The sequence below is a fragment of the Homo sapiens genome, chromosome 22, assembly GCF_000001405.40.
Source record: "Homo sapiens chromosome 22, GRCh38.p14 Primary Assembly".
Classification (NCBI taxonomy): domain Eukaryota; kingdom Metazoa; phylum Chordata; class Mammalia; order Primates; family Hominidae; genus Homo; species Homo sapiens.
In genome coordinates this window covers 22,080,741-22,098,724 of record NC_000022.11, presented here as the reverse complement: position 1 = coordinate 22,098,724, position 17,984 = coordinate 22,080,741, and the positions used below count along the sequence as shown (strand labels likewise).

General features: G+C 43.5%; 1 long non-coding RNA gene, 1 pseudogene and 1 further gene across 4 annotated transcripts; 1 reads left to right on the top strand and 2 right to left on the bottom strand.

Annotated features, from left to right (window-relative positions):
- The window catches only part of IGL (immunoglobulin lambda locus), an 896,838-nt gene that overhangs the window by 824,189 nt on the left and 54,665 nt on the right, over positions 1–17,984 (bottom strand).
- Positions 19–10,950, top strand: LOC102724653 (uncharacterized). Of its 4 annotated transcripts, none has more exons than XR_938059.3 (3): positions 19–748; positions 3,990–4,101; positions 9,731–10,950. It is a non-coding gene; the product is annotated as an uncharacterized LOC102724653 (long non-coding RNA). The 4 variants fall into 4 exon arrangements; XR_430420.4 differs by lacking the exon at positions 3,990–4,101 and having other exon boundaries at positions 25–206; positions 568–748; XR_938061.3 differs by lacking the exon at positions 3,990–4,101 and having other exon boundaries at positions 29–748; positions 9,731–10,110; positions 10,253–10,950.
- Positions 11,701–12,009, bottom strand: IGLV1-62 (immunoglobulin lambda variable 1-62 (pseudogene); annotated as a pseudogene). Its single transcript is given in 1 exon segment — positions 11,701–12,009. A coding segment is annotated over 1 exon segment (309 nt).

Here is a 17,984-nt window from a genome sequence, read left to right as displayed (position 1 = left end):
TTCCCAGCTGGGGTTTGTTTTCCTCAGGGCCTTTTCATGCCTCCCCAGACCCAATAGGATAAAAAAAGTTCTTTATGCAAATCAGCTTCCCCTCTCTTCCTGCCCCAGGTTTCACCCTGCTGTCCTGTGGGGAGACCTTGAGAGAGGCAGCTGCTGAGAACTCACACAGACCCATGATCACACAGGACCGAGACACTAATGAATAGGTGTTGGTGCCTTTCCCCAGATTAGCTCTCCCAATTTTGGAGTGGCCAAAGGATGGGGGATATGTCCTCCCTCCTGCCACACAATCTGGTTTATAACTAAATCTAACCCCATCCTTGTGAGCATTTTCTTTTCTCCCTGCTGAAATGCTTGTGGTGTTTTTTGGGAGCTAGTAGCAGGCCCCAGCATCCTTTGATTGCCCCCTAATGGAATCTCTTTGATGACTGAGGAGGATGAAGGAGAGAGGAATCCGGGCCATGACAGAGATGGCCCCAGTTCTCTAATTTTTGAGGCACTCACTATGTCTGCAATTGAGACCTCTATTCCCCAAGAGTCCCTTATTCTGTCTTTGTTAAATTTCAGAATGTACATTTGTTCCTGCTGTGTGATTGTCCATCTGTCTGTGCCTGGACAACCACTCCATCCCCACTGGATGCAGTAAACAGCACCACTGCCCACTGGCATTGTGAACCTGGTGTCCATCACTGAGCTCTGCTGGGGATAGTCTATGTGGCAGCTGCTGTAGCTCTTGCTCAGAGTGCTGGTGAGTTTGACCCTTTGTCCCAGGGAGGCAGATACAGAGGGTGGCTAAATCAGCACAGATTGGGAGAAAGATGCTGGAAAAATAGATACCCATTATGGCCTGAAGGAAGAAGAGGGAAGGACATTCCTGGCATGAGTTTGGGAGCTGATGTCAGTGACCTGGGGGATCAGGATGCTGGGGACCATCCTAACCCATGCAGTGGAGGAGGAGGATGAGGAGGAAGACTAAGGTTATCTACTAATGGCTTGCCATTTTATTTTTGACCTTTCTTATTTACTTGGTAATATTAATACACATAATGTGGATTTGTGGGGAAATGAACCTTTTAGAAACGCAGAATCTCAGGCTCACTCCAGACCTACTGAGTCAGAATTCACATTCTCCAGAATCCCAGAGAATCTGTGGTTTGGACTTACCTTTGCGGGAGAAATGATAAAGTTGAGCAACTTCTTTTTGACTCATTAGTCAATTCATGTCATCTTTTCAGAAATGTCTATTAAGGGCCTTTGCCCAGTTTTGCTTCAGCATATGTGTTGTTGTGTTTTTGTTTTGTTTTGTCTTTTTTGTTGTTGTTGTTGCTTCCAAACACAGTGGTGTTAGTTTCTTGGACATGTTAGATAACAACCGCTTTCAGAGATACAGTTTTTCAGATCTGTCTCCAAATCTGTAGGACACCTTCTCTTTCGGTTCATTGGTTTCATTCCTGTGGAACATCTCTAAAGCTTTCCATAGTCCTGCGTGTTTCTATTTGCATGTGCATGTGGTGACTTTGGTGTCCCGTCACAAAAAAAAAGGAAAAAAGATCGCATTGTCTGTGGGTTTCTTCCTCCTACTTTTCCCTTTTGTTTTCTTTCCTTTTGGCAATCTGTGTACATAGATTAAAGTTTCACTGAAGTAAACGCTCACCCTGTGTTTTCTTCTAGGGTGTGAAAACACCCTGTGTTTTCAGTTTTGGGTGGAGATCTTTACTGTATTTTGCATTGATTTTTTTGTCTTATGTAACATGAGGATCCATTTCAGTGTTTTGCAGGTAGAAATTCATTTTACTCAAAGACAATTAGCAGACTTCTCTCTTCACTGTTGTGATATTTGGTGTTCTCTTGAAAAATGCATTCACCATATGTAATTTTGGGCTGCATTTTTGGCTTTCTCATTTTGTCCATAGGTTAGTGTTTCTGTGTGTTTGCCAGTGAGGGATTGTTTGGATAACTATAGATTTTACTTATTTTTTTGTTTATGTAGCTCTTAAGCTTCTTCGTGTGTGTGTGTGTGTGTGTGTGTGTGTGTGTGTAATAGTTTCTACTTTTATTATAGATGAAAGAGTACACACACAGGTTAATTATATCTGTTGGTTGCATAATACTGAGGCTTGGGCTCCCAACAACTCCATGACCCGGGCAGTGAGCAGAGGACGCACAAGGTGGGTCTTCAGGACGCAACGCCCCCTCCCTCCCATTTGCATTTTCTTTTTGGTCTGGTAGTTATTCCTAATGTAATCATTCCCTTCTTTACGTTCAGGTGCATTCATAGTTTAGTTCCCACTTATAAGTGAGAATGTGTGGCATTTGGATTTCTGTTCTGGCCTTGAGTTCACTTAGGATAATGACCTGCAGCTCCATCCATGTTGCTGCCAAAAATGTGATTTTTGGGGGCTGTGTAGTGTTTTGTGGTGTATACATACCATATTTTCTTTATCTTATCCACTGTTGATGGATGCCTAGGTTGATTCCGTTTCTTTACCATTGTGAATAACACGGCCGTGAGCATACAAGTGCCTGTGTCTTTTGGATAGAAGGATATATTTTCCTTGGGTAGATCTTCAGGAGAGGGATTGTGGGGTTGGATGGTAGTTCTAAGTTCTTTGAGAAATCTCCAAACTTCTTTCCACAGTGTCTGTACTAGCTTGCTTCCCCCACCAAGACCATATCAGCCTTTCCTCTCCTCAGCTGCCTCGCCAGTATCTTTCTTTCTTTCTTTGTCTGCATAGTCATCGCCGCTCTGAGTGGTGTGGGATGGTATCTCGACCTGCTCTTGATTGGCATTTCTCTGTTGATGAGTGAGTTTGAGCATGTTTCCCTCTTTGTTGGTCACTTGCACATTGTCCTATGAGAAGTGTGTGTTCACATCCCTTGCCCATACACTAATGGGATTTTTTTGTTGTTTTTTGTTGAATGATTGGCATAAGATCCTTGAAGATTCTGGATATTAGACCTTGATCAGATGCAGTTTGGGAACATGTTCTCCCACTCTGTATGCTGTCTCTTACTCTGTTGCTAATTTATTTTGCTGTGTGGTGGCTCTTTAGAGTATTAAGCATGGCTTGTCCATTTTTGTTGTCATTTCCTTTGGGGACATAGCCAAATAGATTCTTTGCCAAAACCTGTGTGGAGAAAGGTATTTTGTATGTTTTCTTGCAGGATTTTAATAGTTTGAGGTCTTCCATTTAAATCTTTCATTCATCTGGAGTTTCTTTTTGTGTCTGGTTAGAGGTCGGGGCCCAGTGTTACTCTTCCGCATATGGCTAACCACTTATCCCAGCACCATTGTTTGAATAGGGCATCCTTTCCCCCTTGCTTATTGTTGTGGATTCTGTCAAGGATCAGATGGTTTTTGGTGTGTGAGTTTACTTCTGGGCCCTCTCTTGTGTTCCACTGCTCTGTGTGGAAGCAGGTACCCAGTTTTTCCATGAAATTTGAAATCGGTGGGTGAGATGCATCTGATGTAGTCTGAATGTCTCAGGATTGCTTTGGAAGAAATTCAGGGTGATTCATGGTCCCATGTGAATTCTAGCATCATGTATTTATATTTCTTTAAACAAATTTGCTGAATAGTAAAGGAATGCAATGAGAGGGTAGAGTGCGACATTTTGGTCTTTGCATACATTGTGGAATGACGAAATCAGGGTATTTATTTTTTCTGTTATTTCGTACCACTGTTTATTCTTTTGTGGCGAGAAGCTTCAGTATCCTCCTTTCAAGCTGTTTTGAAGATGTAATGATGCTATTAACCCTAGTCACCCTGCTGTGGAATAGAAAAACAGAATTTCCTTCCTCTCATCTGTGTGGAACTTTCTACCCCTTTCCAATCCTTGCCCCTTCCCCTTCTTCCCCCCAACCTCTGGTAACCATGATTATGCTTTCTAGGTCTTTGAGATAAAGTTTCTCAGCTTCTGCATGAGTGAGAGGATGCAAAGTTTGTCTGTCTCTGCCTGGCTCATTTCATTTACCATCATGTCCTCCAGGTGCAACCGTGTGGCTCCCGTGATGGGAATTCATTGTATTTTTCTGGCTGAAGAGTATTCCAGTGTCTACGCATGGGACAGTTTCCTTATCCCTTCATCTGCAGATGGACAGGTCGGCTGATTTCTCATCTTGGCCATTCTGCATAGTGCTGGATTCCACCTGGGAACGCAGATAATCTCTTCCATGGCTTGATTTCATGTACTCTGTATATACGACTAGTAGTAGATTGCTGGATGAAATGGTAGTTGTGGTTTTAAGGTTTGGAGGGACCTCCAAGTGGTTTCTTTAGTGTGTGTACTAGTTTATGTTCCTACGAACTGCGGAGACAAGTTCCCCCTCTGGAAATCCACACCATCGTTTTTTTGTCTTTTAATATTTTTCAACTTTTTTTTTGTAGTATCCATTCCATCTAGAGTGAGATGGAATCTGAGTGGTGGTTTTCATTTTCTGTGTGTGTGTGATTAGTTATATTTGCCATGTTATTGTTAATTTGTTTTGAATTTGATGTGTAAAAGTGGGCAGAGGACCTGAAGACATGAGGTTGATGCACAGGTAAAAGATAAGATTATCAACATGGCCGATTCACACCAAAACATGATTGAAAACCACACTCAGATTCTATGTCACTCCAGTTAGAATGAATACTACCAACATTTGATGGCAGTTTCATTACTATAGAGTGTATGTATATAACCAGAGGGTGCAAGGGACATTTTGATATATGTATACGTAGTGTCATGATCAAATCATGGTGTCTGGCTTCTTATTATTTCCCTGTGGAGAGAACATTCAGAACCATCCTTTCCAGCTGTTTTTGAAAAATTCCCCTAGACATTGTTGACCCTGGTCACCCTGCTGTGGAATAGAACATCAGAATGGATTCCTCTCCTCTGAGTGTTACTCTGTACCCATTACCAATCCCTGCCCAGGCCCCCTCCTCTCTCCAGCTTCTAGTAACCCCTATTGAAAGTTCTGCTTCTAGAAGACAGTGTTTTTTGGATTCCATTTGCCTAATGTCATGCAGTATGGGTCTCTCTCTAACAGGCTCATTTCATTTCCCCTAATTGTCTTCCAGGTTTCTCCACATGGCTGCAGATCAATGATTTCCCAAACTGTTATGGCTGAAATGCTTTCCATCATGTATATATCCAGTTCCTTTATCTCTTCATCTGTGGATGGACAGTTAGGTTGATTCCATATCTTGACTATTGTGACTAGTGCTTCAGGACACATGGGAAGGCAGATACCTCTTCAATGCAGGGATTTTGTTTCCTCTAAATGTGTACCCAGTGGTGGGATTGTTAACCTGGAGTGGTGGTTGTACTTTGACCTTTTACTTTTTTAAGGAACCTCCAACAGTTTTGCATAGTGTGTATACTAATTTACATTCCCACAAAGAGCGTACAAGAGTTTTCCTTCCTGCAATTCTACACCAGCCATCACCTCCAACAATTTTTATTTTTATCTTTTGCAATATTCATTTTAACTGGAATTATATGGTACCTGAGTATGGTTTTGATTCACTTTTTTGTGAGGATTAGTGATATTGAGAAACTGTTAACCTGTGAGTCAATTTCCTGTCTTCTTTACACACATGTCTATTCAGATCCTCTTAGCTTGGGTATTTGTTGTTGTTGTTTTTGTTGTTTTTCATTTAGTAGAGTGAGTTTATTGTAGGTGTTAGATAACAATCTCTTTCAGAGGTAGGACTTTCCATAATTCTCTCCTAGTCTTTAGGATGCATTTTGTTTGTTTGTTTATTTCATTGTTTCTTTCCCCCTGTAGAAGTTCTAAAGTGTCACTAGTGTCTTTGTTTATATTTGCATGTTAGCTGTAATTTTTGTATCCAAACCTCCACCCTACAAAACACACACACATACACACACACATATATAGCCAAGCCATTGCATTGTCTGTGCATGTAGTTCCCCTAATTTTCCCTTTAGTGTTATGATTATTTTTCACCTTTTGCAGCCTGTGTGCATAGATACAGGCTTCCTAAAATATACACCCAACCTATGTTTTCTTATAAGACCTTTGCAGTTTCAAGATTGAGTTTAGGTCTTTAATTTATTTTGTGTTGATTTTGTGTATCGTGCAATGCAAAGGTCTTATTTCAGTGTTTTGCATGTGCATATTCAGTTTTCTCAAAATCACTTCTTGAACCAGACTCTCCCTTTCCCATTGTGTCTTTTTGGTGTTTTGAAAAATGTGTTCCCTATGTATCATGTTGGGTTGAGTATTTGGCTGCCTCATTCTGTCCACTGGGTCCTTGTTCTGTGTTTGTGACAGTCATGGATTGTTTGGATAACTATAGATTGTGTTTTTTCATTTATTATTTTCTTCGCTTCTGATCTTGACTTTTTCTTTCAATGCTCTTTACTCTTACTATTCTAGTTTAAAGGGTACACATGCAGGTTAGTTACATCTGTTGATTGCATGACACGGAGGCTTGGGGTCCCAACAACCTCATGACCCAGGCAGTGGGCAGAGGATCCACAGGGTGGATCCTCTTTTTTTTTTTTTTTTTTTTTGGTCTGGTAGTCATTCCCAGTGTCTGTTGTTCCTTTCTGTATGTTCGGGTATATTCATAGTTTAGCTCCCACTTATAAGTGAGATCATGCAGCATTTGGTTTTCTGTTCGGGGCTTAGTTCACTTATGATAATGGCCTCCAGCTCCATCCACGTTGCTGCCAAGAACATAACTTTCTTTTATGGCTGCATAGTGTTCCGTGGTATATAAGTAACACATTTTCTTTATCTCGCCCACTGTTTTATTTTTTATTTATTTATTTTTTAATTTTTTGAGACAGTCTCCCGCTCTGTCATCCAGGCTGGAGTACAGTGGCACAATCACAACTCACTGCAGCCTCGACCTCCCAGGCTCAGGTGATCCTCCCACCTCAGCCTCCTGATTAGGTAGGACTACAAGTGCCTGTCACTGCATCTGGCTAATTTTTGTATTTTTTATAGAAATGGGGTTTTACCATGTTGCTCAGGCTGGTCTCGAACTCCTGGACTCAAGGGATTCACCTGCTTTGGCCTCCCAAAGTGCTTGGATTACAGGCATGAGCCACCGCACCTGGCCTTCTCACAGTTTTTGAGGCTGGGAAGTTCAGGATCAAGGCACTGTCATCTGATAAGTGCCTTTTTTCTGTGTCCTCACATGGCAAGAAGAGAGACAGAGCACACCGCTACCTCCAGCCTTTATATAAGAGACCTGATCCCAACCGTGAGGTCTCCGTGTTCAAGACTATATCACCTTTTGAAGGCCTACCTCTTAGTACTATCACACTGGCAATTAAGTATAAATCCTTTTGGAAGGGAGACATTCAAACCAGAGCACGATGAAAACAGCAGCACTGGAAGGCAGGGCTCCTCACGTCAGTCATTTACTCCAGGGGGACGGGAGCCACCCTGCAGAATGCAGCTCAGTCTTGGGGAGAGAGACGAGGGGATAAGAATGGGACTAGGAATAGACATGGGAGTGCCCCCTGCTCACAGGACAGAGAGGAGAAGCATCAAATCGGGTAAAAATAATGAATGCCTCATTTATTTCTTCTAGCACTTATTCAATCGTTTCAGTAATACATATTCATTAGCCAACTACTCCTCAGGTTTGGGCTCCTGGCGTCAGTGGGTGAATTTGGTTTTTCAGGTTGTTCACATATTGTTATGTGCAATTTTTTTTCTGCTGATTCACTCAGTTAATAGAAGTGTGTGCTATTATTTATAACTATAATTGGGAATTGATTCTTTTCTCTTCCTTAGTCCTGCTAATTTATATTTTATATAGATTATATTATTAGGGACATGTTTTTTGGTTTGTTTATTTGTGTGTGCTTTTTTGGTTTGTTTTGTTCGTTTGTTTGTTTGTTGTTGTTTGAGATGGGATCTCACTCTGTCACCCTGGCAGGAGTGCAGTGGCGCTATCTTGGCTCACTGCAACCTCCACCTCTCAGGCTCAAGGGATCCTCCTACCTCAGGCTCCCAAGTATCTGGGACTACAGACACATATGCCACCGTGCCTGGCTAATTTTTTTTTCTGTACTTTTTAGAGATGAAATTTTGCCATGCTGCCCAGGCTGGTCTAGAACTCCTGAGCTCAAGCAATCCACCCACCTTGGCCTCCCAAAGGGCTGGGATTACAGGCGTGAGCCACCATGCATGGACTGATGTGTATTTTATAATTGTTATGTGTTCTTGTCAAATATTTCATTTTATATACATAAAATGTCCCACATTTCCTGATGTAAATAATTTTCATTGAAATTATCTGGTCTGATACCGAGATAACCACAAGAGCTTTCTGCAGGTAAATGTTTGCATAGTGTATTTTTAGCATCCTTTAAAATATAACACACAAGTAACTTTATTTTAAGGAAATTATTTTTATCTGGTTCATCAACACATTTACATTGAATATAATTGCTGATATTGTGTGTGAGTTTACCTTTCTCTTTATTTTATTTGGGCTTTTTGCTTTATTTCTTTTCGCTCACTTTTTATTTTTCATGAATCAAGTATTTCTAACTGTATCATTTTACATTAGCACCTATTTAGTTTTACATTCTATAAATTCAATAGGAACCCCAGATATTGCAACATATAACCTCACCTTATTAGTGCCCACATTATTTATACATTTTGTGTAATTATTTTATAACACAGAACCTCATAAAAGTTTACACAATGCCTGTCCTTTGTGGTAATTATGGTTGCTAGAGGTTGTACATGCACCTAAGTATGAATGATGAAAACCATTATCAGTGGTAGAGGTGGTGTTTTCAACATCAAAGTCATCTTATGTACCCGACACATTCCCTTCCCTGTGCTGTGACCCTGCAGGATTTCTCAGGTGAGTGCCTGGCAGGTCCCTGTCTCTTAAGCACCAAGAAACTGCAGAAATCCCCTCCACCTGTCTTTCAGAGATTTTGTCTCATCTTTTTAGCCTCTTTCTTAATGTGGGTTGGAATTCAGCATCTGTTTGCACAAGGACCTAATGGGGGTTTGAAGCCCTCAATCTCCAATTTGTTTTTAATTCTCAAGGACACTGAATTACCCTCAAAGCTATTTCAGTATTCTTTGGCATGATCAAGTGCATACTTGCTGTTTAACCCTTGCTGACATCTGTACCCTCGTCCTGTCTTGTCTTTTTGTCTGGGACAAAAAAAACCCATCCATTCTATGGGATGTTTCCTCTCCATTTATGGAGAATCTCAGAAACCTGCAGGCTTCAGGAAGCTGCCTCAGGTACAGGGAAGGGCAGGAAGGTGTACGAATTTTATCTTTGACAACACATTCTTCCTGGACCATGTGGTGACCACTCTCACTCCCAACCCCAAACCTGACCTTAGTCATGGACACAAACACACACCAAGTCCATGTGCCCAGAAATCTGGAATCAACAAGAGTATTTTCTGTCTGAGCTACCTGCCTGTCTGTATTGCAATGCCCAGGCTGGGAATGTTTTATCCTGAAAGCCCAGTATATAGGTCGACTGCATATGAGGCGACAGACCCAGGGAATGGCCTCATTCCATCAGTCCTGGAGGAAAAAATGACTGCAGGAATGTCCTGAGTCAGGTGACAGTCACACAAAATTAAAGTGAGTCTATAGGCCAGGCTGTGGGATCAGATGGGAGGCTTGTGCCTCATGTCCCCATGAGACAGGTGTCCTGGGTTAACCTGGGGCTCTTTCCACATCCTGAACACTGATCATCACCCTCATCCTCATACAGGATCCCAGAGTATTGCAGAAGCCCAAGTGGCCAGACCTAGAGCAAGAGCCCAAAATCAGAACCCTGCAAGCTGGAGACCAGCAGGCATTACCATCTGGGGCTCCCGTAGGAGCTGGCGGTGCCAGGCCACGCTGTCCACTCGACTCTGCTGCTTGTTCCAGTGCATGAGGAGGTGACCTTAACTTCCAGACAATGTGGCCAGATGAGGGAACACAGACTGCATGGAGGACCTTGGAAGAGTTTGCGGGGCACAGCCCTGCTGGCACAAAGCCTGACACAGAAGGACACAGACACCCCTGCACGGTGAACAGTGACTGATACTTGTCATTTACAAGCCTCTTCTTCAGCTCATCCCCATGTTGAAAGCAAGAGCTGCTGAGGTAGGGTTACATGCTGCCAAAAATGAAAACTGAGGTTCAGAGAGTATGTGATTGCTTCAATGGGCCCAGAGTAGTGATGAGTTATCCCCAGTGCTGATGTGACAAAATCTTGCCATTCTACTCATAGTGTTGCTTCTTCCAGGGCAGTGGATGTAGGAGTCTCTTCTGGGAGCTGAACCTTTGCAGGAGGCTGGACTAGCAGGGAGAGATGCAGAGAACTGTGGGCACAGGACAGGGTCCACCGATTGCGAAAGCAAGAATGGAATGAGAAGTATGAGCAATGGATCGATATACTAGTCGAACTGAAATAAGATATTGTCAGAACTATTTGTCCAAGGAAAATCAGATGTTCACAACAGAAGTTACATTCTGAGCTAGATTTATCAGAGCCTCCAGCCAGGATCACTGCACCAGGCCTAGAGAGCAGAGGGAAGATTTGTGTCTCACTTTCCCATGGGCCTGGAGCCCTGTGTAAGCCTCAGAGCCACTGTGAAATCCACTGCCCCTGTGCAGACCCCGAGACAGACCCATTCTCAGGCTGCAGCACAGCAACGTGCAAAATCCTTGCACAGGCCGACGCATCTTTAGATCCCAAGATGTGGCTGGGAGCCTCAGAGCCCTGTTTCTTACTTGAGTCCAAGTAGAAGTTCACGAGATATTAGATAGGGTTCCCTGGATTCTGCCAGAACCAGTCACCGATTTCTTCTGATGGAATCACTGATTCATTGTGGTGATTATCCAAGGGTGTATAAATATCTTAAAACACACAAAATTGGGCACTTTAAATATCAGGGGTTTATTTTGTTAATTATTCCTCAATAAAAAGACACATAAAAAATAGGCTGAAACAGACCCGGCATGGTGGCTCACGCCTGTAATCCCAGCACTTTGGGAGGCCGAGGTGGGCGGATCACTTAAGGTCAGGAGATCGAGACAATCCTGTGAATGGTGAAACCCCATCCCTACTAAAAATACAAAAAATTAGCCGGGCATGGTGGCGGGCGCCTGTAGTCCCAGCTACTCGGGAGGCTGAGGCAGGAGAATGGCGTGAACCCGGGAGGCGGAGTTTGCAGTGAGCCAAGATCGCGCCACTGCGCTCCAGCCTGGGCGACAGAGCGAGACTCCATCTCAAAAAAAAAAAAAAAATAGGCTGAAACAAAAAGAACAGGAAAACACACTGAGGACCAGTGAGAGGAAGACACTGCTTTGAAAACTCCTGGAAATAGCAAAAGGATGATGGAGATGCAGGTTCCCCATCAGATGTAGATCTGAGATTTCACTGCTGGATTTGTCACTCCAGCCCCTGGACTTTAGAGCAGAGACCCTGTGTCCCAAGTTGCAGGGTACAGGACATTCTGTTTTCTGGAGGCCCTTTTCCTAGAAAGGGACTGCTGTGGGTGACTCTGAGGACGGAGGGGAGGAGAAGCATCTACTCCCAGGTGGGGCCCTGGATGCTCCCAGGCCCACTGGGGAAACAGCAACTGCAGAAGCCACAGGCCAGGCCTGTGCAGTAGCTGCTGGGCACTCACCCTCCTGGGAAAGGAGGAAGGGGGTTCTTGTCTCACTCCCCTGCAAGCCTGGAGCACTGTACAAGCACTCAGCAGATGTCACGGGACTGGCAGTGATAATCAGTCTTGTCCTCAGCCCAGAGCCCAGTGGTGCCCAGGGAGGCCAAGCTGCCAGACTTGGAACCAGAGAATTGGTCAGATACCCAGGAGGCCCAATTCTTATCACCATGCCTGAGGAGTTTGGGGTCAGTTCTTGGGAGCTACTGCCAACAGTTTACGTTATAGCCAGTCCCAGTGTTGGAGCTGCTTCCAGTGCAGGAGACAGTGAGCCTCTGCCTTGTGGCCCAAGACACTGAGGGTGGCTGAGTCAGCACAGACTGAGCCCAGGATCCTGGAAGTGGGAGAGAAACAGTCATGGTGATTCTGGGTTGAGAGACAAAAGGAGAAAGCAGGGCCCATGGGCTTCCTAGGGCTTTAGCCATGGCCTTATATCTAGTCACCTGTGCAGTGTGCAAGGAGAGTGAGGAGGAGAGGAAACCAGACCATGCTGGAGATTGTCCTGAGTCCTGCCTTCCTTCTGTGCCCACAGCTGAGACAGAGCTTCCCCAAATCTCTCCCTTCCCCTCTTCATTCTCTGAGAATGAGGGTCCATCCATGCAAATTAGAGCCCCCCAGCCTTCTGATGACACGCTGGCCTTGGGTCAGGCCCCTCTCGTGGATATCAGGGATGCAGGCAAGGGTGAAACTGTGTGTTCCGGGGCATCAGGAGCTCACCACTGTGATCACTGAGCAGAGGGCACCATGCAGGCAGTTAGCTGATCGCAGCTCTGATCTCCCCTAGATCACTTGGTAATGAGCCCTTCATGTCCCCAGGTGTCCACATCCAGACACACTCTCCTGTGACATGATGACCAGATGTCCCCAGAGCCAGCTGTGCATTCCCCCTGCTCTGATCACTGCCCCCAGGCTCAGCACCAGGCCAGACAGACCCTTTTTGTGACCTTCTCATTAACTCAGGGCAGTTCATGCTTTACTGGTCTCCTTAAGGGTGAATCTGTCCAGGGCTTTTTGGATGTTCCTTGGTGAGGACTGAAGTGGTGACTCTATACCAAGTCCTCTTAGGTCAGGTCAAGTCCAGAGCAGTGACTGGTTCCCATGACTCACTACCCTGGTCACGGGAGACACCAGGTCCTTTCTTCTGTGGCTCCTCCCTGCTGGCCAGAGCTCTTCCTCCTCTGTGGACCCTGCAGCACTGAGGAGAACAGGAGCTCTCTTCTCTAAGGGTGGTGAGGTTATGGGGAGAAGCTCTGGGGGGCATTTCTGGTAAAATTTTGTTCTCTAATTTCCACAGACTTGGGGTAATAGCTATTCAGATGCTGTGGTCAACTTCTCACTCCTAGGAGTCTGTCCTCCAAGCACTGAACAGAGTCAGTGGCATGGCAAATAACTTTGCAGCATTTTTATTGAATAGCAAAAATGGCAAATTTGCTCAATATTTGAAGACTGCAAGAGATAAAATTACCAATTGTCAGTGTTTGATCCCAGGTGAGGTGGAAACATGGTAGCTGGTAGGATCAGCCACTCCAAGTAGGATGTTTAGAAAATATAAATATGGAGCCAGGCAGGTGGCTCAAGCCTGTAATCTCAGCACTTTGGGAGGCTGAGGCAGGCAGATCACTTGAGGTCAGGAGTTCGAGACCAGCCTGGCCAACATGGTGAAACCCCATCGCTACTAAAAATACAAAAATTAGCTGGGCATGGTGGCGGGTGCCTGTAATGCCAGCTACTCAGAATGCTGAGGCAGGAGAATCAATTAAACTTGGGAGGTGGAGGTTACAATGAGCCGAGATTGTGCGACTGCACTCCAGCCTGGGTGATAGAGTGAGTCCCTGTCTCAAAAAAAAAAAAAGAAAGAAAATATAAATATGGTTTACATTCAGTAATGAGTGCTGTGGGAGTAGTATAAGCATAAGAGAAATTATTAATCTCTGATTTGTAATGACATCTAGTATGTAATATATTTTTTAAAAAACAATAAGCTTAAACAAAAAAGATTACTTTATCAAAACATAAAATGAAACAAACTGTGTATGTGGCTACAACAGTTCTGATATTACATTCTGTGAATTCATAATGAATTTTTGCTGGGGTTATGCAGGGGTAGAGAAGGATAGCAGGATTGTCACATTGATGTTTATACTGATGAGTAGATTACTAGGCAGTTGCAGTACTGTGAGATTTTAAATACACCATCTAAAATGGAATAGTGACATATAATATCATAATATTGTCTTGTAAATAAATCCAGGCCACATATGGAACTGAAAATAAATGTGTGCCATGTCTTAGATTTGCAATTCAGGGGTGTCATTGTTTGAGGTTTCTCTTCTTCATAAGCTGTGGTTTTTAAAAGCATAATTTACAGTCAGTTTTGTAAATAGTTATTGTTTACAGAATACAGGCAATATTGAGTTTTATTCAATATTAGGTAGAAATACATTATTACCACTGTGCTTGCATCCTGTGTTTTCTTGTCATTGCCTCCTCTGTGTGGATGCGTAGAAGTTCCTACCGAATTTTGTTTCCCTTTTCTTCCCATCTGAATGAAGAGGGATCCCCCAGTCTGAGCAGTGTCTCACACAGAGGATGAGGCTGCCTGTGACCCCTCCCTGCCCCTAGGTGCTCTCCCTCGTGGGTGCCCCCTCAGCTCTCAGGCTGGGGACAGAGAGAGGAGCAAGTTTACAGCTAATACTCCCAGTTTAGCCCCATCCTGAGCTCACTACAATGTGTCCAGTGTGGTGAGAGGCAGGTCTGCATTTGGTAAAGGTTTATTGAGTGCCTACCATGTGCTGGGTGCTTTTTGACAGTGGGTATGTGAGCCTCAAGGGAACAGTGTTTTCCCTACCCAGGGAGCTGACCCTGAAGGGAAGGATGAGGATGTGATACATGCAGGGACATCCTTTCTTCGCCTTCACCATTGGAGGTGGTAGGGAGACTGGAGAGGGGACACTGCCACACTCAGGAATCTGAGAGGGGGTGGTGTGCCTGAGCTCAAAGAAGAGGAGAGAATCAGAGCAAACATTTAAGAGTTGAGAGGATAATTCTTTATTTCTAGTGCAGATGAAGAGCAGTTTCTGACGTGGATATAGCTGGAGGAACACAGAGACGAGCGATGAGGTCCATGTGAAGGGGCTGCCAGAGACCACGGGATTAGGATTGAGGAAGGAGAATCTCGGCAGGACCAGAGTCTTAGAAACCCAGGAAGATGACCTCTCTCAGGCCAAGGAGGCTGCTGACTGGTGGGTTTTCATCTACAGAGAGTGTTGGTGTTGGCAGGAAAGGTGGGCTGGAGCCTTGAATTAGAGGGTGTGACATGAACAGCACATGAGAAAATTGAAAGAGGGAAAGTAAGTCCTCCCACAGAAATGAATAGGCGGAAAGTGTAAAATGAAGCTCACCTGCAAGCTCCACATCATCTTCTGGAAACTTCATATAGTGAAATTGTGTTAATGTGTAGATTTCTATTAGAGGGGGCAGATGAAGTTTCTGGTTTTATTAATCTGCAGGATATCAGACAGTTTATCTCCACTCAGAAAGTTTGCATCAGAGGTTCTTTTCTTCTGCATTTTAGATCCTGTGCTGTTAAATGTTCATTCCCAAAGCTTTATCATCCAACTGGCCTCCTCCCTAACATGTCATTTGAATGAAGCATTCAACAGGGTAATTCTGTCTTGTGTTAAGAGCTATGCGCCTATCATTGTAAAAATTACCCCCTTGCCCCTTGGCAGATGATCCATCGAGAAGCCAAAGAGATCCCTGATCCTTTGTTACAAATTATATTGTGTTCACCCTGAATTTTCACGTTATAACTGAATTAACAATTTATCTGTATTGGGAGATCTGGACACTAAGATAATTAAGATACAATGAGGTCATAAGAATGAGTCTCTAATCCAAGAGGACTAATGACTTCATAAGCAATCTGTACAAAAACAACACACAGACCTGAGAGTGACCACGTGAGGACACAGTGAGAAGAGAGCCATCTGGAAGCAAAGTAGCTTTCAGCTACATCCATATTTTGCAAAGAACATGGTTTTGTTGTTCACAATGGCTGCATAGTATTCCATGGTGAATGCGTATCACACATTTTATTTTTACTCGATCCACTACTAATGAGCACTTGAGTTGATTCCATGTTATTGCTATTGTGAATACTGCTGCAACAAACGAATGAGTTCAGATATCTTTTTGGTAGAATTATTTATATTCTTCTGTGTACACACCTAGATTCCTGGGTCCAGTGGTAGTTTTTTTTTTTTTTTTTTTTTTTTTGAGAAATCTCCAAACTGCTTTCCACAGAAGCTGTACTAATTTACATCCCCACCAACAATGTATAAGCATTCCTTTTTTTCTGTATTCTTGCCAGCATCTGTTATTTTTAGACTTTTTAATAATACCCATTCTCACTGGTATGAGATGATATCCCATGTGGTTTTGATTTGCACCTCTCTGATAAGTGAAGTTCTGCATGTTTTCATGTTTGCTGGCTGCTTTTTTGTCTTCTTTTGAGAAGTGACCATGTCCTTTGTCCACTTTTTAATGGAGTTAAATTTTTTTGTTGACTTAGCTTTCTTATAGATTCTGGATATTAGTCCTTTGTTAGATGCATAGTTTGCAAATATTTTTCCCATTGCGTAGGCTGTCTGTTTACTCTGATGAGAGTTTCTTTTGCCATGCAGGAGCTCCTTAGTTTTATCTGGTTCTGATTGTCAAGTTTTTTGTTGCAATTTCTTTTGATGATTAGACATACATTATTTGCCCACACCAATGTCCACAAGAGTATTTTCCAACTTTTCTTCTAAGATTTTAATAGTTGGAGGTCTTACATTTAAGTCTTCATTCATCTGGAATTAATTTTTTATATGGTAAGAGGTAGGGGTCCAGTTTTACTTTTCTGCATTGTAGGCCAGTTTTCTCAGCATCATTTATTGAATAGGGTATCCTTTACACATCGTTTATTTTTATCAATTTTTGAAGATCAGTTTGTTGTAGGTGTGTGTAAAGCCAAAGGATTTTAAGAGATGGGCAATATTGAGGATAAAAGAATGGAGTATATTCATAAACGTCTGCTCTTATAATAATCCTTTAAAACCAAAAAAATACAAGTGAAGTTCTACAGAACATGAGAGTTACCTAGACATAAACATTTCTAGCTCTTCTGAGGCACGGCCACATTTGTCAGCGCTGATTGTATTTATTGAAAACTTAAGATGTCAATAATCTTGTGTCAACTACACAGGGTCCTTAATGTTTTCTCACTTAGCTGCTGCTCACCCATACCCCTCACAGGTCCCGAGATCCCAGCTGTGGTCCCTGTCTCCCCACACTCCATTCCTCAGCACCTCCCACTTCTGAACCATGCAGACATGACCTTTCACCGTTTGCGTGTTCCGCCCATGTCCAGGACTCCACAGCCTAATGTTTGTGTCAAAACCAGAGCCTCATATGGCCCTGCCTGGACCCTCACTTCCTCTTAGTTCACTTTATGTTGCAGCAGGTGAATTTTACAACCTTAATCAGTCGCTGCATCTTTGTCGTCAACTCCTCTAAGTCTGCTCACCCCACCTCACCAAAACACACCTCTCTTCATTTTCCTAAAACATGTCATATTCCTATTGATACATTTACTGATGTGTTCTGTTTTCCCCTAAATAGCATCAGTTCCTGGAGGACAGGGACCATCCTGTCTTATCCACGCTGTACCCTGAGCACCAAGAACACATCCAGAATCTGCACATAGTAGGAGCTCAGAGGAATGGAGTGACCAGGTGGCCTCTGCAGCATCACCTCTCCTGGGTCAGACACAGATGGACTCTGGGTCCCTGGACCCCTGATCCTTTGTTACAAATTATATTGCATCCACCCCGAATTTTTTTTTTTTTTTGAGATGGAGTCTTGCTCTGTCACACAGGCTGGAGTGCAGTGGGTGATCTTGGCTCACTGCAGCCTCTACCTCCTGGTTCCAGTGATTCTCCTGCCTCAGCCTCCCGAGTAGCTGGGACTACAGGCATGTACCACCATGCTCAGCTAATTTTTTGTATTTTTAGTAAAGATGGAGTTTCACCGTGTTAGCCAGGATGGTCTCAATCTCCTGACCTCGTGATCCACCCACCTCAGCCTCCCAAAGTGCTGGGATTAACAGAAGTGAGCCACCGAGCCTGGCCCCCTGATTTTTTATGTTATAACTAAGTTACCAATTTGTCTGTATTGGGAGATCTGGACACTAAGATTATTAAGATTCAATGAAGTCATAGGAATGAGTCTCTAATCCAAAAGGACTAAAGACTTCATAAGAAATGTGTA